Source organism: Homo sapiens, chromosome 1 (assembly GCF_000001405.40).
Source record: "Homo sapiens chromosome 1, GRCh38.p14 Primary Assembly".
Taxonomy (NCBI): domain Eukaryota; kingdom Metazoa; phylum Chordata; class Mammalia; order Primates; family Hominidae; genus Homo; species Homo sapiens.
The window spans coordinates 54,755,594-54,772,265 of record NC_000001.11 but is presented as its reverse complement, the minus strand read 5'-3'; the positions used below and the strand labels follow the sequence as shown (position 1 = coordinate 54,772,265).

The window sequence follows — 16,672 nt, the reverse complement described above, 5'->3', positions numbered from 1 at the left end:
TTCTATAGCTGCTTTCGTGCTGCAGTGACAGAGTTGGTTAGTTAGGACAGAAACCATATGGCCTGCAAAGGCCGGGCGCGGTGGCTCACGCCTGTAATCCCAGCACTTTGGGAGGCCGAGGCAGGTGGATCATGAGGTCTGGAGATCGAAACCATCCTGGCTAACACAGTGAAACCCCGTCTCTACTAAAAATACAAAAATTAGCCGGGCATGGTGGTGGGCACCTGTAGTCCCAGCTACTCGGGAGGCTGAGGCAGGAGAATGGCATGAACCCGGGAGGTGGAGCTTGCAGTGAGCCGAGATTGCGCCACTGCACTCCAGCCTGGGCGAAAGAGCGACACTCTGTCTCAAAAAAAAAAAAAAGAAAGAAAGAAAAAAAAGAAACCATATGGCCTGCAAAGCCTAAAATATGCTCTGGCCATTTACAGAAAATTTTTGGTGCCCTCAGTCTAGGCACGGGGATGCTGCAGTGAAGAAAACTTTTAAACAAAAATCCCTACCCTCATGGAGCTTACATTCTACTGGGGCTAGGGGTGGGGTGGGGAACAGAATACAAGTAAACCAAAAGATGCGAAAGATATTTACTATATTAAATGGCAATAAATGCTATGGAGAAAAATGAAGCAAGAGAGAGAGTATCAGGAGTGCTGGAGGTGCTGGAAGTAGGAGTAGATTGAAGCGAAAAATAGGGTGTCAGGAAGTTCTGGCTTCAAAGGTGACATTCCAGCAAAGACACAAAGGAGGCGAAGGAGTGAGCCCTGTGGAAATGGGGCTGCGGGGACAGCTGCCAGTTAGAGGAGCAGCAGGTGCAAGGGAGTATTAACAATGGTTAATGCTGGATGAGCACTCTGTGCCGGGGCCCTTTGAGTGCTTTACGTACCTAATCTCATTTAATTACTTAAAAGTCATTATCTCATTATACCCTTAATCTTACAAACAGATGATCTGAATATACGTCTATCACTAATGTATTTCTATCACTAATACAGTTCTTTCAGTTTGCAAAGTTTTGTACTGTTGTTTGCTTGATCCCCAAAACATTTCAGGGGGGTTACCGACCCCATCATAGAGTAACTGAAGGCCAGATAGGTCTAATCACTTGCCCGGATCACACAGCCAGTGAATGCTGAAGCTAGGAAGAAAACCCAGGTATGTCTGGATCCAGATGTTGCACTCCCCTCTCTAAGCCACCAACTTTGGAGGGCATGGACTCTACCATGTTTAACATTGTATTCGTCAACCCCACACGCCTAAACCAAAAGCCTGCACCAAAGAGAAAAGGGGGTTTTCTCAAAAGGAACTGAATTCCCATCATCGTTCCAGATGAGGGACACCAGATAAACTGCTGGAATCACACCCAGACACACATACATTTGATTTTTGCCTTTGTCCTGGAGCACCCACACTGTGCCCCAGACTACTGGCTGTGCCCAGTGCTCCATAGAGCTAACCTAAAGAGGTGTTCCAAAAGAAGTTGTTGGTGGCTGGGTACAGTGGCTCATGCCTGTAATCCCAGCACTTTGGGAGGCCGAGGCAGGTGGATCACCTGATGTCAGGAGTTCGAGGCAAGCCTGACCAACATGGTGAAACCCCATCTCTACTAAAAATACAAAAAATTAGCTGGGTGTGGTGGCAGTTGCCTGTAATCCCAGCTACTTGGGAAGCTGAGGCAGGAGAATCGCTTGAACCCAGGAAGCGGAGGTTGCAGTGAGCCGAGATCATGCTATTGCACTCCAGCCTGGGCGACAGAGAAAGACTCTGTCTGAAAAAAAAAAAAAAGAAAGAAAGAAAAGAAAGCAAAAGAAGTTGTTGGTTGGCAGATTAACTATTACTGGTTTTGCTCTATTGCATTTTTAGCAGGGCATTATTATGAATTGATGGAATTATTTAGAAATACATTAATTTGGCCAATATGTATTGAGATTCATTATGACATCTAGCAGGGCCAGAGATAAACATGGGCCCTCCCCTCTGGGAGCTTGCAGTCTAGTGGGATAAAGAGATGAACTTTTTGTATGTGCTACATAACCTGCTGTGTGCCAGGCATCATGCCAGCCATGGGCACTGCCATCAACATCAACAATAATAATAATAGCAAACATTATTGAACCCTGATTATGCGCCAGGCACTGTACTAAGCCCTTTACATGGGCAAACTCATTTCATCTTCATTACAGCTTCATGAGGGAGATGTCACTACTATTTTAAGGATAAGGCATCTGAGGTTTGAGGAGGTTGAGTATCTCACCAATGACCATATGGTAAGTAGGTAACAAAATGAGGATTTGCACTCAGGTCTGTTTGCCCTGTCACACTTACACACACAATTGTGACACATGTCAGAGAGTGAGCCGGTCAGATGGGAGACAAAGACAAAATTATAAGGGGTGCCAGGAGAGGGAGAGTCTCTGCCCAAGGGGCCTTCAAGGAAGGGCTCCTGATGGGGGTGCCACTGAGCTGAAGAGCAGGCCTCCAGACAGAGGGGCCAAGTCAGACAGGGTCTGTTTGGGTGATTGCTCCTGCAGTTTTGGTGCTGGGTCAAGACATGCCTGATACAAATAAGTTGCTATTGGAAGCTGTGAGTGTAGACATCAGGCTGTGCATCCAACAAGCCCGGGTATGACTCCCTTCTTCCCCGTTTACTAATTGTGTTGACCATGGAGAAGCCAACCAAATTTTCTGAGCCGTGGTTGCCTCATTTGTAAAATGGATATAACCGTGATATTTATGCCTCCTGGAGATGTTCTAAGGATTTAATCAGACATAGGGGTAAAATGGGCCAGGCGTGGTGGCTCACGCCTGTAATCCCAACACTTTGGGAGGCCAAGGTGGCAGATTGCCCGAGCTCAGGAGTTCTGGACCAGCCTAGACAACATGTGAAACCCCGTCTCTACTAAAATACAAAAAAAAAAAAAAAAAATAGCTGGGCGTGCTGGTGTGCACCTGTAGTCCCAGCTACTCAGGAGGCTGAGGCATGAGAATTGCTTGAACCTGGGAGGCAGAGGTTGCACTGAGCCGAGCTCAAGCCACTGCACTCCATCCTAAGCGACAGAGCAAGACTGTGTCTTAAAAAAGAAAGAAAGAAAGAAAGAAAAAGACATGGGTGTAAAGTAGTTAATATTGTCCCTGGCACATGGCAAGGGCTCCATAAATGTTACTGATGATGTGGATGGTGATGATAGTAGTAGCCACACTCTAATTCTGAGGACTCCTCATAAAAACAGAGTCCCACCTTCCTGATCCCTGCTGGCCTCCACTCTGCTAGGCTTAGGCACTGAAAAAATGAACAAGTGGTGTGCTCTGGGCCCAAGGAGAAGGGGCTCTCAAAGACCAAAGATTTGCATCCTACACAGTGGCGAGAGTGGGGAGTCTTTCAGAACCAGAGGCAGCAGCAGTAGGATGAGGGTTCTCTCCTTACGATGGATGAGGGGAGCAGTAAGGTCCCCAGAGTCAACATGGGAGAGAAAGTGAGTAAATAAGTGTTGAGGGATGGGCTGGAAGCTTTCGATGACATTGCTCAGTGTCCCTTCATAACAGCCCCATGGGATGCTATTATGATTTCTGTCTTATGGATAAAGAAATGTATAAGTAACTCACCAAGGTCATGTAGCTGAGAAGAGCCTGGGCAGATTCCTAGTCAAGGCCTTCCTGACTGCAAAGCCACCCTCACAGTCCAGCCTGTCTGGGCTGAGCTGGGCTAAGGGTGCAGGGGTGGGCTCAGGAGTCCACCAGGTGGACTGTCTCTGGACAGATGTCTCTGGAATCTGTCTCTTCCTCTCCCACCCACTGCCCTAGTCTGGGCTATTATAGGAGTCTCCTTTCCGGCCTCTCTCGCCATCCTCCTCCTCCAATCTGAGCTCTCACTTCAGACAAAGAAACACAGTGGACCAGTCCTCTCCTGGTGTAGAACCCTCTTTTGCCCACAGGCCTGCTTCTCACATGAGCAGTGTCTGCCTAGGGGCATGCAGCAGAGGAGAAGGCTGCCTCCCTGTGGTGCCAATTATACTTTCAAGTTACGACAAGTCCATGCTACAGAGTGGGACGCAAAGTGTCCAGGGATTGTGCTCAGAGCAGGAGTTTGTGTGTGTTGGGGGGAAGAGAGGGGCAGAGAGGAGTATCGTTCCTCATCAGAAAGGTTTCAATGGCCACAAAGATGGAGATAAACTCAGAGATTTGTCCAGCAGACCCTGCTGCACCTGGCTTCTGATGGCTGTCCAGTTGTGTGTCCATGACACCTGGGGGTGCTCTATGCTCCAGCCAGAACTATCTCTAGCCATCTTCCTTATCAGAAGCAATTTATTGCCTCTCTGACCAGAATGTCTTTCCATCCCATTTTTGGCTTGGGAAGCTCCTATGTATTCCTTAAGGTCAATTCCAAGTACCCCTCCTCTGAGAAGCCCTCCCTGATCCCACCTCATGGCTGAATGTCACGTCCTTTCCCAACCCCCCAATCTGCAGTGTGTTCGCTCGGCACCTTGCACTTCCCTCCTCACAGCTTCTTACCACAGGGCACTGTGTCACCGCTTTCAAAGGCAGCCTCTCCAGGAGGCCGTGAGCTCATGAGGTTGGGGAGTTCATCATTAACTCTGCCTTCATTTGCTTATTCAACACACATTCAGAGCCCCTCCTGATGCCAGGCAAGGGGCTCTGGATGCAAGGACGATTCAGTGTGTCCTCAGAGGAGCCCATGATCTGAGGGAAGACAAACCATCCATTCATTTATTGATTGCTATATTAAAACAACACATAAACCAAAAAGCAAAACCCTGTGATAAGCCCCAACACCGGGCCAGGCCCTCTGCTCAGGGATGAGGATAGAGAAAAAAGCAAAACCTTTTCTTGCCCTCAAGGAGATCCTATTCTGGCTAAGGGAAATTGCTAAGTGCGTGGTGTGTCCCCAGAGCTGTGGGGCACCAAGGCAGGTGTGGAGTCCTCTTCTTGCTTTATTTCTTTGTGATAACCAATTAATAAATGAGGGAATGAATAGATTTTTTTCTGTGTGGGTTTTTTTGTTTTTGTTTTTATTGCAGGGGGTGGAGTGGTGCGTCATGGGGCTTTAACCATGAATAAGCTCTGTAAACTAAGTCATTCAATAAATTCTGATCAATTGATTGACTGAAATATCGCACAGGAAGTCACTAGCAGCAACAGGGCTAGATTCTGGGTTTCCACGACCTTGGGATCTCCACCACCCTGGACTCTCTCAATGGGGAGCAAATCTACTCTGTGACTGTCTTGATAGGACTCTGCAGCCTGGAGCTACAGAGCCTCCTGCAATCTCACAGTAAAATGCAGCATTCTTGGCCTGCCTCCCAAGGGGGTTGTGAGCATTAATTAGTTACCATTGGTAAAGTGCTCTGAAGATGTGGGGGTGTATAAACACGGCAAGTCATTAGGCCTCTCCACACCACTATGCTCTACAGCCTAGGGACTGCTAATTGAGAAATAATTAACACCTCAGGGTGCTGAGGACAGCTGCCTGGCTTTTCCAGGATCGGAAGGGATGTAACAACGTGCACAGGAACAGGGAGAAATTAAAGGCTACTTTGGATATGTAGATCCAAGAAATTCTGAAGTTTATTTGCCCCCTGCCCCCAAAGAGGAGGAGTGAGAAATATCAGTCCAGCGAAACCTCTGGGACTGCACTCCTTGGGGAAAGCCTCTACCACAGCTCTGGGCTATAAAGGCTGAGCAAGGCTCTTAGAGACAAAAGAGCTCAGGTCCACCCCAGCCCTGCCTGGCCTCCTAGCTGGTAGGCAAATGCAGTCGTGTGCTCCACCCAAGCTGTGTTTTCTTCAACTGTAAGACCAGGATAATAACATGGCATCTACCCCTGCCGCCTCCACCACTAGGTTGTCCAGTGCCTTTCCTCTAGGGCTGCAGATCTAACCCCGGTGCACATTAGAATTTCCTGGGGAACTATAAAATAATAATGTCTGCACAACCAGCATCTTGGGACAGAGGGTGGCAGTGGGTGCATATAATGACTCTAATGCAGTCAAGGTTGAGAATCACTGCTCTGGCCTGTGTGCCAAGCTCTGTGTGAGGAGCTGGGAGAAATAAAGATGTAAACCACACCACACCCCATGCTTCCCTCACACTGGCTCATCATTTCCTGAGCTGTGCCTTTGAATGTCCTGGTCCCTCTGCCTGAACATTGGCACTCCACTCCCACTGCCATTCTTGTCTGGGTAGACCCCATTCATCCTTCAGGTCCAGCTCAAAGGTAACCTCCTCAGTGAAGCCTTCTTTTCCCACGCTCCCGCAGGGGTTTGCTCAGCCCCTATCACACCACTGATCACACGGAGTTGTTCCTGGAAGATCCTGTCGTACTGAGAGCTTCTTGGGGCCAGTATCGGAATCACCAGTGTCTTGCATTGGGTCTGGTATGTTTTAGGCATTCAATAACTGTAGTTGTTATCAGGTTGAGTTATATAACATGCAGTTCCCACTTCAGGACATTTGCATTTCTTGTTTCCTGTGTCTGGAAATTTCTTCCCCTGCAAGGCTCTGTCTCTCACCCCCTTCTGGTCTTTGCTAAAAACGCCACCTACTTGATGAGGTTTTTCCTGATCCTCCTATTTTAAATTGCAAACACTTGGCTGGGCGCGGTGGCTCACACCTATAATCCCAACAGTTTGGGAGGCCGAGGTGGGTGTATCACCACCTGAGGTCAGGAGTTCAAGACTAGCCTAGCCAATATGGTGAAACCCCATCTCTACTAAAAATACAAAAAGTAGTCGGACGTGGTGGGCACCTGTAATCCCAGCTACTCGGGAGGTTGAGGCAGAAGAATTGCTTAAACCCGGGAGAAGGAGGTTGCAGTGAGCCGAGAACGCGCCATTGTACTCCAGCCTGGGCGACAAGAGCAAAACTCCGTCTCAAAAAAACAAAGAAAAAAATTGCAAACACTTAACTCCCCCACTCCATTCTCCTTCTCTAATTTTTTCTTTATAGCCCTTATCACCATCTGACTGACAGATTCTTTTAAATTTTGATATTTTGTTTGCCATGGATTTTTTGCATTTTGTTTTTTTAAAAAAACAATTGTATTAAAATACTGTTTATCTTGGTTACTGAGTTCTTTGCTCCCATTCCCTGCCCTGCTTAAATTTCGCTCTATTGGTTTATTGACTGTGTCCTCTCTAGAACACAAGCTACACTGAACGCAGTTAATTTTGTCTGTTTGGTTCACTTCACTGTCCCCAGTGTCTACAGCAGTGGCTTCTACGTGGTAGCAGCTCAAAAAATATTTTGTGAATGGAAGTTTGAATCTGTGTCTTAAAGACTGTCTTGGGCACTGTAATAAAGGCGTCTTTCTCAAACTGTTTCACAATTTTATACTATTTAAATGGAAAGCCCGTAAAAATCATAGGATAGATTAGAAACTACACTGCCCAGTGTGTCGTCATGGTTACACTGTCGCCAGTGGTTCTCCTATTGGGGGAGTGGGCGGGGCCTGGCAGGGGCAGGAAGAGCACCCTCAAGTCATCATAGAGTTATACCTCCCAAGTTCCTAGAAAGTACTTCCGGAACGGTGATTTACTCAAGGCTGCCCTGGCCAATCAACGATCTTGGGGAAAGCCGGGTACTCGCTCTTTGGCTACACTTCCGGAAAACCTCTCACGCGCGCCTAGCGTGGGGCGGGGCCAGAGCGCCCCTGCCCTCGGCCCCGCCTCCGTGAGCGCGGCTTTGCAATTGGCGAAAAGGGCAGGAGGCGGGGCTTAGGAGCGGGCTTGCTCGAGGCGCAAGCGCGCTGGCCCGGCACGGCGGTGGTCTTGCGGGAGGCGTGGGCTGGGATTGCGGTAGGTGAACGTGGGTGACTCCCAGACCTGAGGGACGGGCGCGGGCAGCGAAATGAAGCGAGCACGCGGTGTGGGCGCGGAGACCTAGGACCCTGGTGTCCGTTTTCCCACTTGCATCCCGTCCTTGAGTTGGGGCGGGCGAGAATCCCATAAACTTTTCGATACTCCTGGTCTCCGTGTCCTCCGTTGTAAAATGAGGGCAGCACTTCCTGGTCTCTCCCTCGGTCGTCGTGAGAGTCACACAGTTCTCGAAGTGCCAGCTCTGGAAAGGCCCTGGGACCACCTGCTGCCTGAGCCAGCCTTCCCGTTTTATGTTGGAGAAAACGGAGGTCCGGGGCGAAGTGAGTGGTCCAGGGTCACCGAGCGAGTGAAGGCCGAGCTTGTTCTTAGAACTAGGCCTAGGGTTCCATTGCTGTTTAATGTAGCACAGTTCGTGATGGAAACTGTAGGATTTGGAGGCGGGGACCTTGCCTTCCAGGCCCGACCCTGCGCTTATTTGCTGTGTGGCTTGACACAAGTGACTTTATATTTCAGAGCCTCCCTTTTCTGAGTTGGGCATAATAATAATAATAATAGCACTTTGTGAGACTTAATATTATGTATCAGGTACGGTTGTAAACGCTTTAGGTACAACTTTTCTGATTAGATTGGGGGGCAATGGTGAGTCAAAGAATCTTTAAAAAGGCCTGGGCTGGAAGGGCTGACAGTGTCCCGACAGAGTAGGTACTCAAAAAAATCGACTGAATGTCTCAGAGGCTGTTTGCCAGAGCCTGAAGTGTTGCATACGTTAGTTACTGTATTGCTCCTGAAAAACTGAGATAATTCTACTTATTCTCCTGTTTGTATAAGCTGAGGGGTCTGAGGACAGACATGCTAAACGTGGAGGAGAAGAGTTTAAAGCTCTCGTTTAAATTATCCAGATAATTATATCATTGCACCTGTTTGCTTTGCTCTTAATTTATTAACATATTTGATCAACAGATAATAATAGCCTAAATAGTAGGCATTATGCGAGACTCTGAAATTTAAAGATGTATAAAACTTCATAAACTTGTAATTTCATCAAGGAATAGAATGTTAAACATCGACACTGACCTCCCCTCCTGGCCCCCGTACACACCCCCAGAAAGAAAAAAAATTGTATGTGAAACACCATTCGCTTCCAATGCCTGGCACACAATAGTTCCTCAAAAATATTTTTGGAGATGATTCTAATACAGTATACTAAAAAGAGGTGTGTGCAGTGGAGCACAGAGGAGGTGACTTTCTCTGTTTAGAGGGGTTGGAGAAAGTTTCTTGGAGTAAGTGAACCTTGAATTCCAGTTGGAATTGCTGGGGGTTGGGGGGAGGTCAGTCTGTTTCAAGAATAATGAGCAACTTGGGGAATGCTAGGATAAGAAGCTGGAAGAGGTGTGTTGGGATCAAAATGTGAAGAGCTTTGGTGCCATTCTGAGAAAATTATGAGAGCCAGCCGTTAATGGATTGTAAACAGGGGAGTGATTGGGTCAGCTATCTTTTTAGCTGGAGACTAATACGGAGACTGGACTGACAGGGTTCAAGAATTACTCCATTCATTCATTGATAGAACATGTATTGAGCCTGGGCACAGTGGCTCACACCTATAATCCCAGCAATTTGGGAAGCTGAGGCAGGTGGATCGCATGAGGCCAGGAGTTCAAGACCAGCCTGGGCAACATAGCAAGACTCCATCTCTATTTTTTAAGAAAGAAAAAAAGGAACATGTTATTGAGTGTCCACTGTGTCCAGGCACTGTGCTGAATGCTGCAGATAAAACTTGGAATAAAATAGACATAGCTGTCGTCTTCATGGAGTTTAAGACATTAGTCATTGGTGGTACACAGCTAGACCCCTGCAGTGGTTCTCCCAGTGGGGTCCCTGGACCAGCAGCATCTGTGTCACCTGGGAACTTGTTAGAAATACAGGTTCTCTGCCCACACCCCAAACTTACTAAATGAGAAGCTCTGGAGATGGGCCTCTGCAATCACTGTTTTAACAAACCCAACCGGGCATGGTGGCTCACGCCTGTAATCCCAGCACTTTGGGAGGCCGTGGCGGGCTGATCACTTGAGGTCAAGGAGTTTGAGACCAGCCTGGCCAACATGGTGAAACTCTGTCTGTACTAAAAATATGAAAAATAGTTGGGCATGGTGGCACATGCCTGTAATTCCAGCTACTCAGGAGGCTGAGGCAAGAGAATCTCTTGAGGCTGGGGGTACGGAGGTTGCAGTGATCTGACATTGCACCACTGCACTCCAGCCTGGGTGATAGAGTGAACTCTGTCTCTAAAAAAAAAAAAAAAAAAACAAGCCCTCCAGCGATTCTGATGCTCAATTAGATTTCAGAACCACTGGGTAACTGTAATGTAGCAAGTGGTATTGAGGGGCTAACCTAATGTTGAGGCAGTAAGGGCCAGAAAGGAGGGGGTGGACTTAAGGGAAACCTTGAGACAGACTCATTTGCTTTAGGAGGAATCAAGGATGAGTTTCTGGCTGGAGCCACTGCCCTAAGTAAGGTTGGATCACAAGGAAGTTATAGAGCCAGGGGTGAATCCACATGTGCCTTGCCTCCATGGCCCGTACGTTCCTACAACACCACACTAGGGCTCTGTGGCAGTGCCTGACCACCTTTAAACATTTGTACAGTGCACAGGGGAAATGAATGAGGCTGCTTGAGGTTGGAGGGGACAAGCTGGAGGACCTGAGGCTGCTAGAGGTAACCAGCTGGGAGATCCCAGCTCCCTAGAGCTGAGGGGAATCAGCAACCCATACCCAGCATACTGCCGGGAGCTTTGTTGCATGGACTGTGCTGAAAAGTAGAGGTACTCACTAAATTTGGCAATACAAATAAAAAGTCTCAAAAGAATTTATAGCCTTTGATTCAGTAATTCCATTCTTCAACGCCTCTCCCAAATATATAACAAAAAAAGCCTTCTCTTCATTGTAGATTATGTATAACAGAGAAAACCAACTACTGATTTTTGATGTAATCAGTGGAATGTCGTACTGCCATTAGAAATGTGTGATTATTTTGTAAAATCAGAGAAACATACTTGCCTATTGGACAATGTCTAGTAAGCCCCTGTCATGTGCTGAAGATACAGTGGTGAGCAAGCTAGACAGGTCCTTGCTTGCACTGAGCCAAGTGTCAGGGAGAAGACAGACAGCCAAATGGGCAGGAACCCTAGGAGACAAGTGGGCTATGCGGGAAAAGCCAGCCCTTTGGGGGTATGGGGAGTGGGACAAGAAAGGCTTCCTGGGGAGAGGATGGTAATCCTGAGGCCTAGAGGACGGCTAGATGTTGGCAGGAAAAGGGGAGAGGGGTGTTCTGTGCAAAAGGGACAGTATGTTTAAGAATGGGCATGGGGCCGGGCGCAGTGGCTCACACCTGTAATCCCAGCACTTTGGGAGGCCGAGGCAGTTGGATCACGAGGTCAGGAGGTCGAGACCATCCTGGCTAACACGGTGAAACCCCGTCTCTACTAAAGATACAAAAAAATTAGCGGGCATGGTGGCGGGTGCCTGTAGTCCCAGTTACTCGGGAGGCTGAGGCAGGAGAATGGCGTGAACCCGGGAGGCAGAGCTTGCAGTGAGCCCAGATCGCGCCACTACATTCCAGCCTGGGTGACAGAGCGAGACTCCGTCTCAAAAAAAAAAAAGAGTGGGCGTGGCAAAGCCTGATCAGAGAGGGGGCAGTGGTGAGATGAGGCCCAAGGGGGTCAGCTTATGTGGGGCTGTGCACACCCTGAAAGTCAGAAGCTTAGACCTTATTCTAAGGGTAGCAGGAGGCCGTTATAACCAAGAAAAGCTGTTAGCATCTGTGCTTGGGAAGTCTCCCCTGTGGCTGCAGTATAGAGAATGGATTGAAGGAGGGCAGGAGTGGAAGTCAGGAGACCAGTGGGGAGGCTGTTGCAACCATCCAGGTGAGAGATGAGGGTGGCCTGGACCTGGGCGGAGGCTGTAGAGAGAAGAGGGACAGATTGAACAGCAAGTGAAGAGGTAGGAATGACAGGGCCAAGAGGGCTGTGAACGTGGGACACAGAGAGGAGCAGAGCAGGCGAACCCCACATTCTGGTTTGGGCAAAGTGCAACTTTTGGTGCTATTCACAATGACAGGCAGTGCTGGAGGGGGAGTAGGTTTGCGGGGAGAATGCTGAGTTCATTCTGGGACACAGAGTTTTGAAGTACCTACCTGATGTATTCTCCAGGAGGCAGGTGGAGATTTTGAGTCAGCTCTCAGCATGCAGGCTGTCCAGGGAGTGTGTGCTGTAAAGAGGGAAGAGGCCCATGACATTTAAATATTGGGGGCAGGTAGAGGAACAAGAGAGGGATGTGCAAAGGACAGGGTTTGCAAGAGACAGATGGCAACAAAACGTCAGCTGCAGTTGACTCCAGGCTGAGGGATTACAGTTGATTTTCTTTTCCTTTTTTTTTTTCTTTGAGACAGAGTCTCACTGTGTTACCCAGGCTGGAATGCAGTGGCGTAGTCTCAGCTCACTGCAACCTCCACCTCCCAGGTTCAAGTGATTCTCCTGCCTCAGCCTCCCAAGTAGCTGGGATTACAGGCGTGTCACCATGCCCAGCTAATTTTTGTGTTTTTAGTAGAGACAGGGTTTCGCCATGTTGGTCAGGCTGGTCTCAAACTCCTGACCTCAGGTGATCTGCCCATCTTGGCCTCCCAAAATGCTGGAATCACAGACATAAGCCACCATGCCCAGCCTTCTTTTCTTTTTTGTTTTCAGATTTCCCCCCTAGTTTTCTATAATAATAATAGCAGACATTAGTTGAGCTCATAGTACATGCCAGATACTGTTCCAAGAACTTTTATAACTCTTCTAAGTGTCCACAATAAGCCTAGAAGGTAGGTTCTGTTGTTATTACCATTTTACAGATGAAGAAACAGCACAGAGGGGTTAAGACACATGTCCCCAGCTACACAGGGTGCAGCCATTGGGAGGCCTGACTGGAATCCAGGCTGCCTGATTCCAGAGCCTGTGCACTCACTACATGACGCTGTCTCTCCACAGGATGTTGTTAATGTTTTTATAATCAGGAAAATATTGATTTTTCAAAAACGGAAGTAAGAGGTTAGAGAAATAGTGCTTTGATCTGCTAGGATATTAGAAATGGAAGGATTTGTATCTGCAAAATCAGTGGCTGCCTTCGAAGTTTGTTGAGAGCAGGCTGGGTTGGCTGCTTCATGGTGTTGGAACACGGATGAGGCTCATTCTCACACAACTCATTTTTCCTCAGGTGCCTGTGCTTCCCGGTGCCAGGGTGTCATGGAAGGGCTGCTGACAAGATGCAGAGCATTGCCCGCCCTGGCCACCTGCAGCCGCCAGCTCTCTGGGTATGTTCCTTGCAGGTTTCACCACTGTGCCCCAAGAAGAGGGCGGCGCCTGCTGCTGTCTCGTGTGTTCCAGCCACAGAACCTTCGGGAAGACCGGGTGCTCTCCCTGCAGGACAAATCTGATGACCTGACCTGTAAGAGCCAGCGGCTGATGCTGCAGGTGGGCCTGATCTACCCAGCAAGCCCCGGCTGTTACCACCTCCTGCCATATACCGTCCGTGCCATGGAGAAGCTCGTGCGAGTGATAGACCAGGAGATGCAGGCCATCGGGGGCCAGAAAGTCAACATGCCCAGCCTCAGCCCGGCAGAGCTCTGGCAAGCCACCAACCGGTGGGACTTGATGGGCAAAGAGCTGCTAAGACTTAGAGACAGGCATGGCAAGGAATACTGCTTAGGACCAACTCACGAGGAAGCCATTACGGCCTTAATTGCCTCCCAGAAGAAACTGTCCTACAAGCAGCTTCCCTTCCTGCTGTACCAAGTGACAAGGAAGTTTCGGGATGAGCCCAGGCCCCGCTTTGGTCTTCTCCGTGGCCGAGAGTTTTACATGAAGGATATGTACACCTTTGACTCCTCCCCAGAGGCTGCCCAGCAGACCTACAGCCTGGTGTGTGATGCCTACTGCAGCCTGTTCAACAAGCTAGGGCTGCCATTTGTCAAGGTCCAGGCCGATGTGGGCACCATCGGGGGCACAGTGTCTCATGAGTTCCAGCTCCCAGTGGATATTGGAGAGGACCGGCTTGCCATCTGTCCCCGCTGCAGCTTCTCAGCCAACATGGAGACACTAGACTTGTCACAAATGAACTGCCCTGCTTGCCAGGGCCCATTGACTAAAACCAAAGGCATTGAGGTGGGGCACACATTTTACCTGGGTACCAAGTACTCATCCATTTTCAATGCCCAGTTTACCAATGTCTGTGGCAAACCAACCCTGGCTGAAATGGGGTGCTATGGCTTGGGTGTGACACGGATCTTGGCTGCTGCCATTGAAGTCCTCTCTACAGAAGACTGTGTCCGCTGGCCCAGCCTACTGGCCCCTTACCAAGCCTGCCTCATCCCCCCTAAGAAGGGCAGTAAGGAGCAGGCGGCCTCCGAGCTCATAGGGCAGCTGTACGACCACATCACAGAGGCAGTGCCTCAGCTTCACGGGGAGGTGCTCCTGGACGACAGGACCCATCTGACCATCGGAAACAGACTGAAAGATGCCAACAAGTTTGGCTACCCCTTTGTGATAATCGCTGGCAAGAGGGCCCTGGAGGACCCTGCACATTTTGAGGTTTGGTGTCAGAACACTGGTGAGGTGGCCTTCCTCACCAAAGATGGAGTCATGGATTTACTGACCCCAGTGCAGACTGTCTAAATGCCCCCAGCCCACCCCTGCCCCCATTTGCAGCCTTGGTGTTCGTTCTAACACTGCATTTTCCTACACCCCTTTCCTGGACTGCTCTCTCCAGAAACAGCACAGCTCATGGAGGGTGAGATCATGTTAGGGAAATCAATTTTTATCTAGTCATTTGTTCAGATTATTTGTATTTAAAGTCATTAACTTGATCCCTTTCTCCAGACTGGCCATGCCGCCATATACCTTTCCTTTTGTATTCCATTGTGGAAGCTTCTAGGAGGCTGAGAAGCAGGAGATCCAAGCTCCAGTCCTGGGTGTTACCCTGAGGGGGGAAGTCACTTCCCTTCTCTCAGCTGAGTTTTTCACGTGTAAGATGAGAATGGCTGATGGCTGAGAGCCCACCAACCTTCCCCACCCCGTATCAGTTTGACCACGGGCCTTTTGCTACATTCTATCCAGAGAGCAGGCCTGCCAGCCCCTCTCCACTGAGAAGTTGGGCTGAGAGTATGGGGAAAAGAATCAAGAGACCTGACTGCCGCCAACTCACTAGTGACTTAGATACATCCCCTCCCCCTGCTGGGGCCTCAGTTTCCCCATCTGTAACTTGAGAAAATAGAACTAGATCTGTAAAGTCTGGAACTAGATCTGTAACGTCCTTATAGGTGTCACTAGGGGGTTCCATGAGAGGTGTGTGACAGGCAGTCTGATTCCTCTCATTCTCCATAGTCTGTTTCCTGGAAAGTCGATGTAATTAACTGATGGCCCAAAAACTACCTCAAGAGACCTGGCCCTGTTAAGACGGCTTAACCACTGAGATCCCGTTCTATTGATTTAATAAAGTCAAACTATTGGAATGGGCCTTGCACATTAATTTGAAACAATGATAACATCTGCCATTTTAACAGTGCAACAGCTTTCTACTCCTTTTCTTTCCTTTTTGACTGTTCCCACACACCCATCCCTAACATAAAAAATCAGGTGGTTAGGAAAATGTGGTTTAAACCATTTCTTCCCCCAAGTATCGGGGCAGCAGGCTTCAACTGCCACGGTGACCTTATCGTAGGTACAGAGTTGGATCCTAGAGCCAAGATGGGGTGAATATTAAGAGCTGGTCTCTTGTGTCCTTAATGTAGAAGCTGGTTTTAAAGAAAAAAAAAAGCTACTCTCTGCCTGAATTGTATGGAAAGATGGAGCAAGCTTGAACTACCCTAGCAATGCCAACTACTTTCATTGCTCCTGCATCTTAGATAAGGAACATAACCAAGTTTTCCATCCTTGGCCCCCTAGGGTCTCTGCATGTCCATATCTGACAAGAATCTGTGAAGACCAAGCTCAAAGCCAGCATCTCCTAAAAAGCTGCCTGGCAGCTCTGAATAGTGGTTTTCCTTCTGCCTCCCACAGCACAGATCACATCCCTTCTTGTTTTGTGCATACACAGCTCATTGTACAGTGGTCCTGCCTCTTGTTGATGGTGAGCTCCCTGAGGCCAGGCCCCTGAGCTAATTCCCAGTGCACTGCAGTTCTTATTTTGGCCAGTGGTTCCACCTGCTAAACAGCCTCCAGGTAGCTTATTACTGGTAGAGCAACCCTGCCTGCCTCTACATAGCATCAGGCTTCCTGTTTTTGTTTTTGTTTTTGTTTTTTGAGACAGAGTTTTGCTCTTGTTGCCCAGGCTGGAGTGCAATGGCGCAGTCTCGGCTCACCACAACCTCTGCCTCCCAGGTTCAAGCGATACTCCTGCCTCAGCCTCCCGAGTAGCTGGGATTACAGGCATGCGCCACCACACCTGGCTAATTTTGTATTTTTAGTAGAGACAGGGTTTCTCCGTGTTGGTCAGGCTGGTCTCCAACTCCCGACCTCAGGTGATCTGCCTGCCTAGGCCTCCCAAAGTGGTGGGATTACAGGCTTGAGCCACCATGCCCGGACAGCATCAGGTTTTCTAATGAATGCGTAGCCAAGCCCTACCAGCTCCCAGCCCTGCCATTGGAGCTCCAGGCCCAGGATTCCTTTGGAATACTTCAGATTTTCAGGCTAGGAGACATGCATTCTGAGAGCAAACCTAGTAAGGCTAGATTACAAGGCAGAGGATCTTACCCTTGCACATTGGAATCACCTGGGTCCCATCCAGAGGGTCTGGTTACATGTAGGGTGTGGCCTG

General features: G+C 48.9%; 1 protein-coding gene across 1 annotated transcript, besides 4 other annotated features; it reads left to right on the top strand.

Annotated features, from left to right (window-relative positions):
• Nucleotides 7,360-7,983: an enhancer, noted in NCBI's record as "H3K27ac hESC enhancer chr1:55229956-55230579 (GRCh37/hg19 assembly coordinates)". NCBI's record gives its function as "activates a minimal SCP1, AML or CMV promoter by ChIP-STARR-seq in primed H9 embryonic stem cells {active_cell/tissue: H9 hESC(primed)}" and the evidence as "EXISTENCE:reporter gene assay evidence [ECO:0000049][PMID:30033119]".
• Nucleotides 7,360-7,987: a biological region, named in NCBI's record as "H3K27ac hESC enhancer GRCh37_chr1:55229956-55230579".
• Nucleotides 7,678-7,737: a silencer, noted in NCBI's record as "silent region_922". NCBI's record gives its function as "represses an Ori minimal core promoter by ATAC-STARR-seq in GM12878 lymphoblastoid cells {active_cell/tissue: GM12878}" and the evidence as "EXISTENCE:reporter gene assay evidence [ECO:0000049][PMID:35858748]".
• Nucleotides 7,743-15,368, top strand: PARS2 (prolyl-tRNA synthetase 2, mitochondrial). The gene is made up of 2 exons (NM_152268.4): nt 7,743-7,805; nt 13,076-15,368. Exon 2 carries the CDS (start codon nt 13,105-13,107, stop codon nt 14,530-14,532), a length of 1,428 nt encoding a protein of 475 aa, NP_689481.2. The 5' UTR covers nt 7,743-7,805; nt 13,076-13,104; the 3' UTR covers nt 14,533-15,368.
• Nucleotides 7,868-7,987: an enhancer, noted in NCBI's record as "active region_1066". NCBI's record gives its function as "activates an Ori minimal core promoter by ATAC-STARR-seq in GM12878 lymphoblastoid cells {active_cell/tissue: GM12878}" and the evidence as "EXISTENCE:reporter gene assay evidence [ECO:0000049][PMID:35858748]".

Excerpts from the sequence above, each read along its gene's own strand:
- PARS2 (NM_152268.4), top strand. The coding sequence starts at position 13,105 with ATGGAAGGGCTGCTGACAAGATGCAGAGCATTGCCCGCCCTGGCCACC.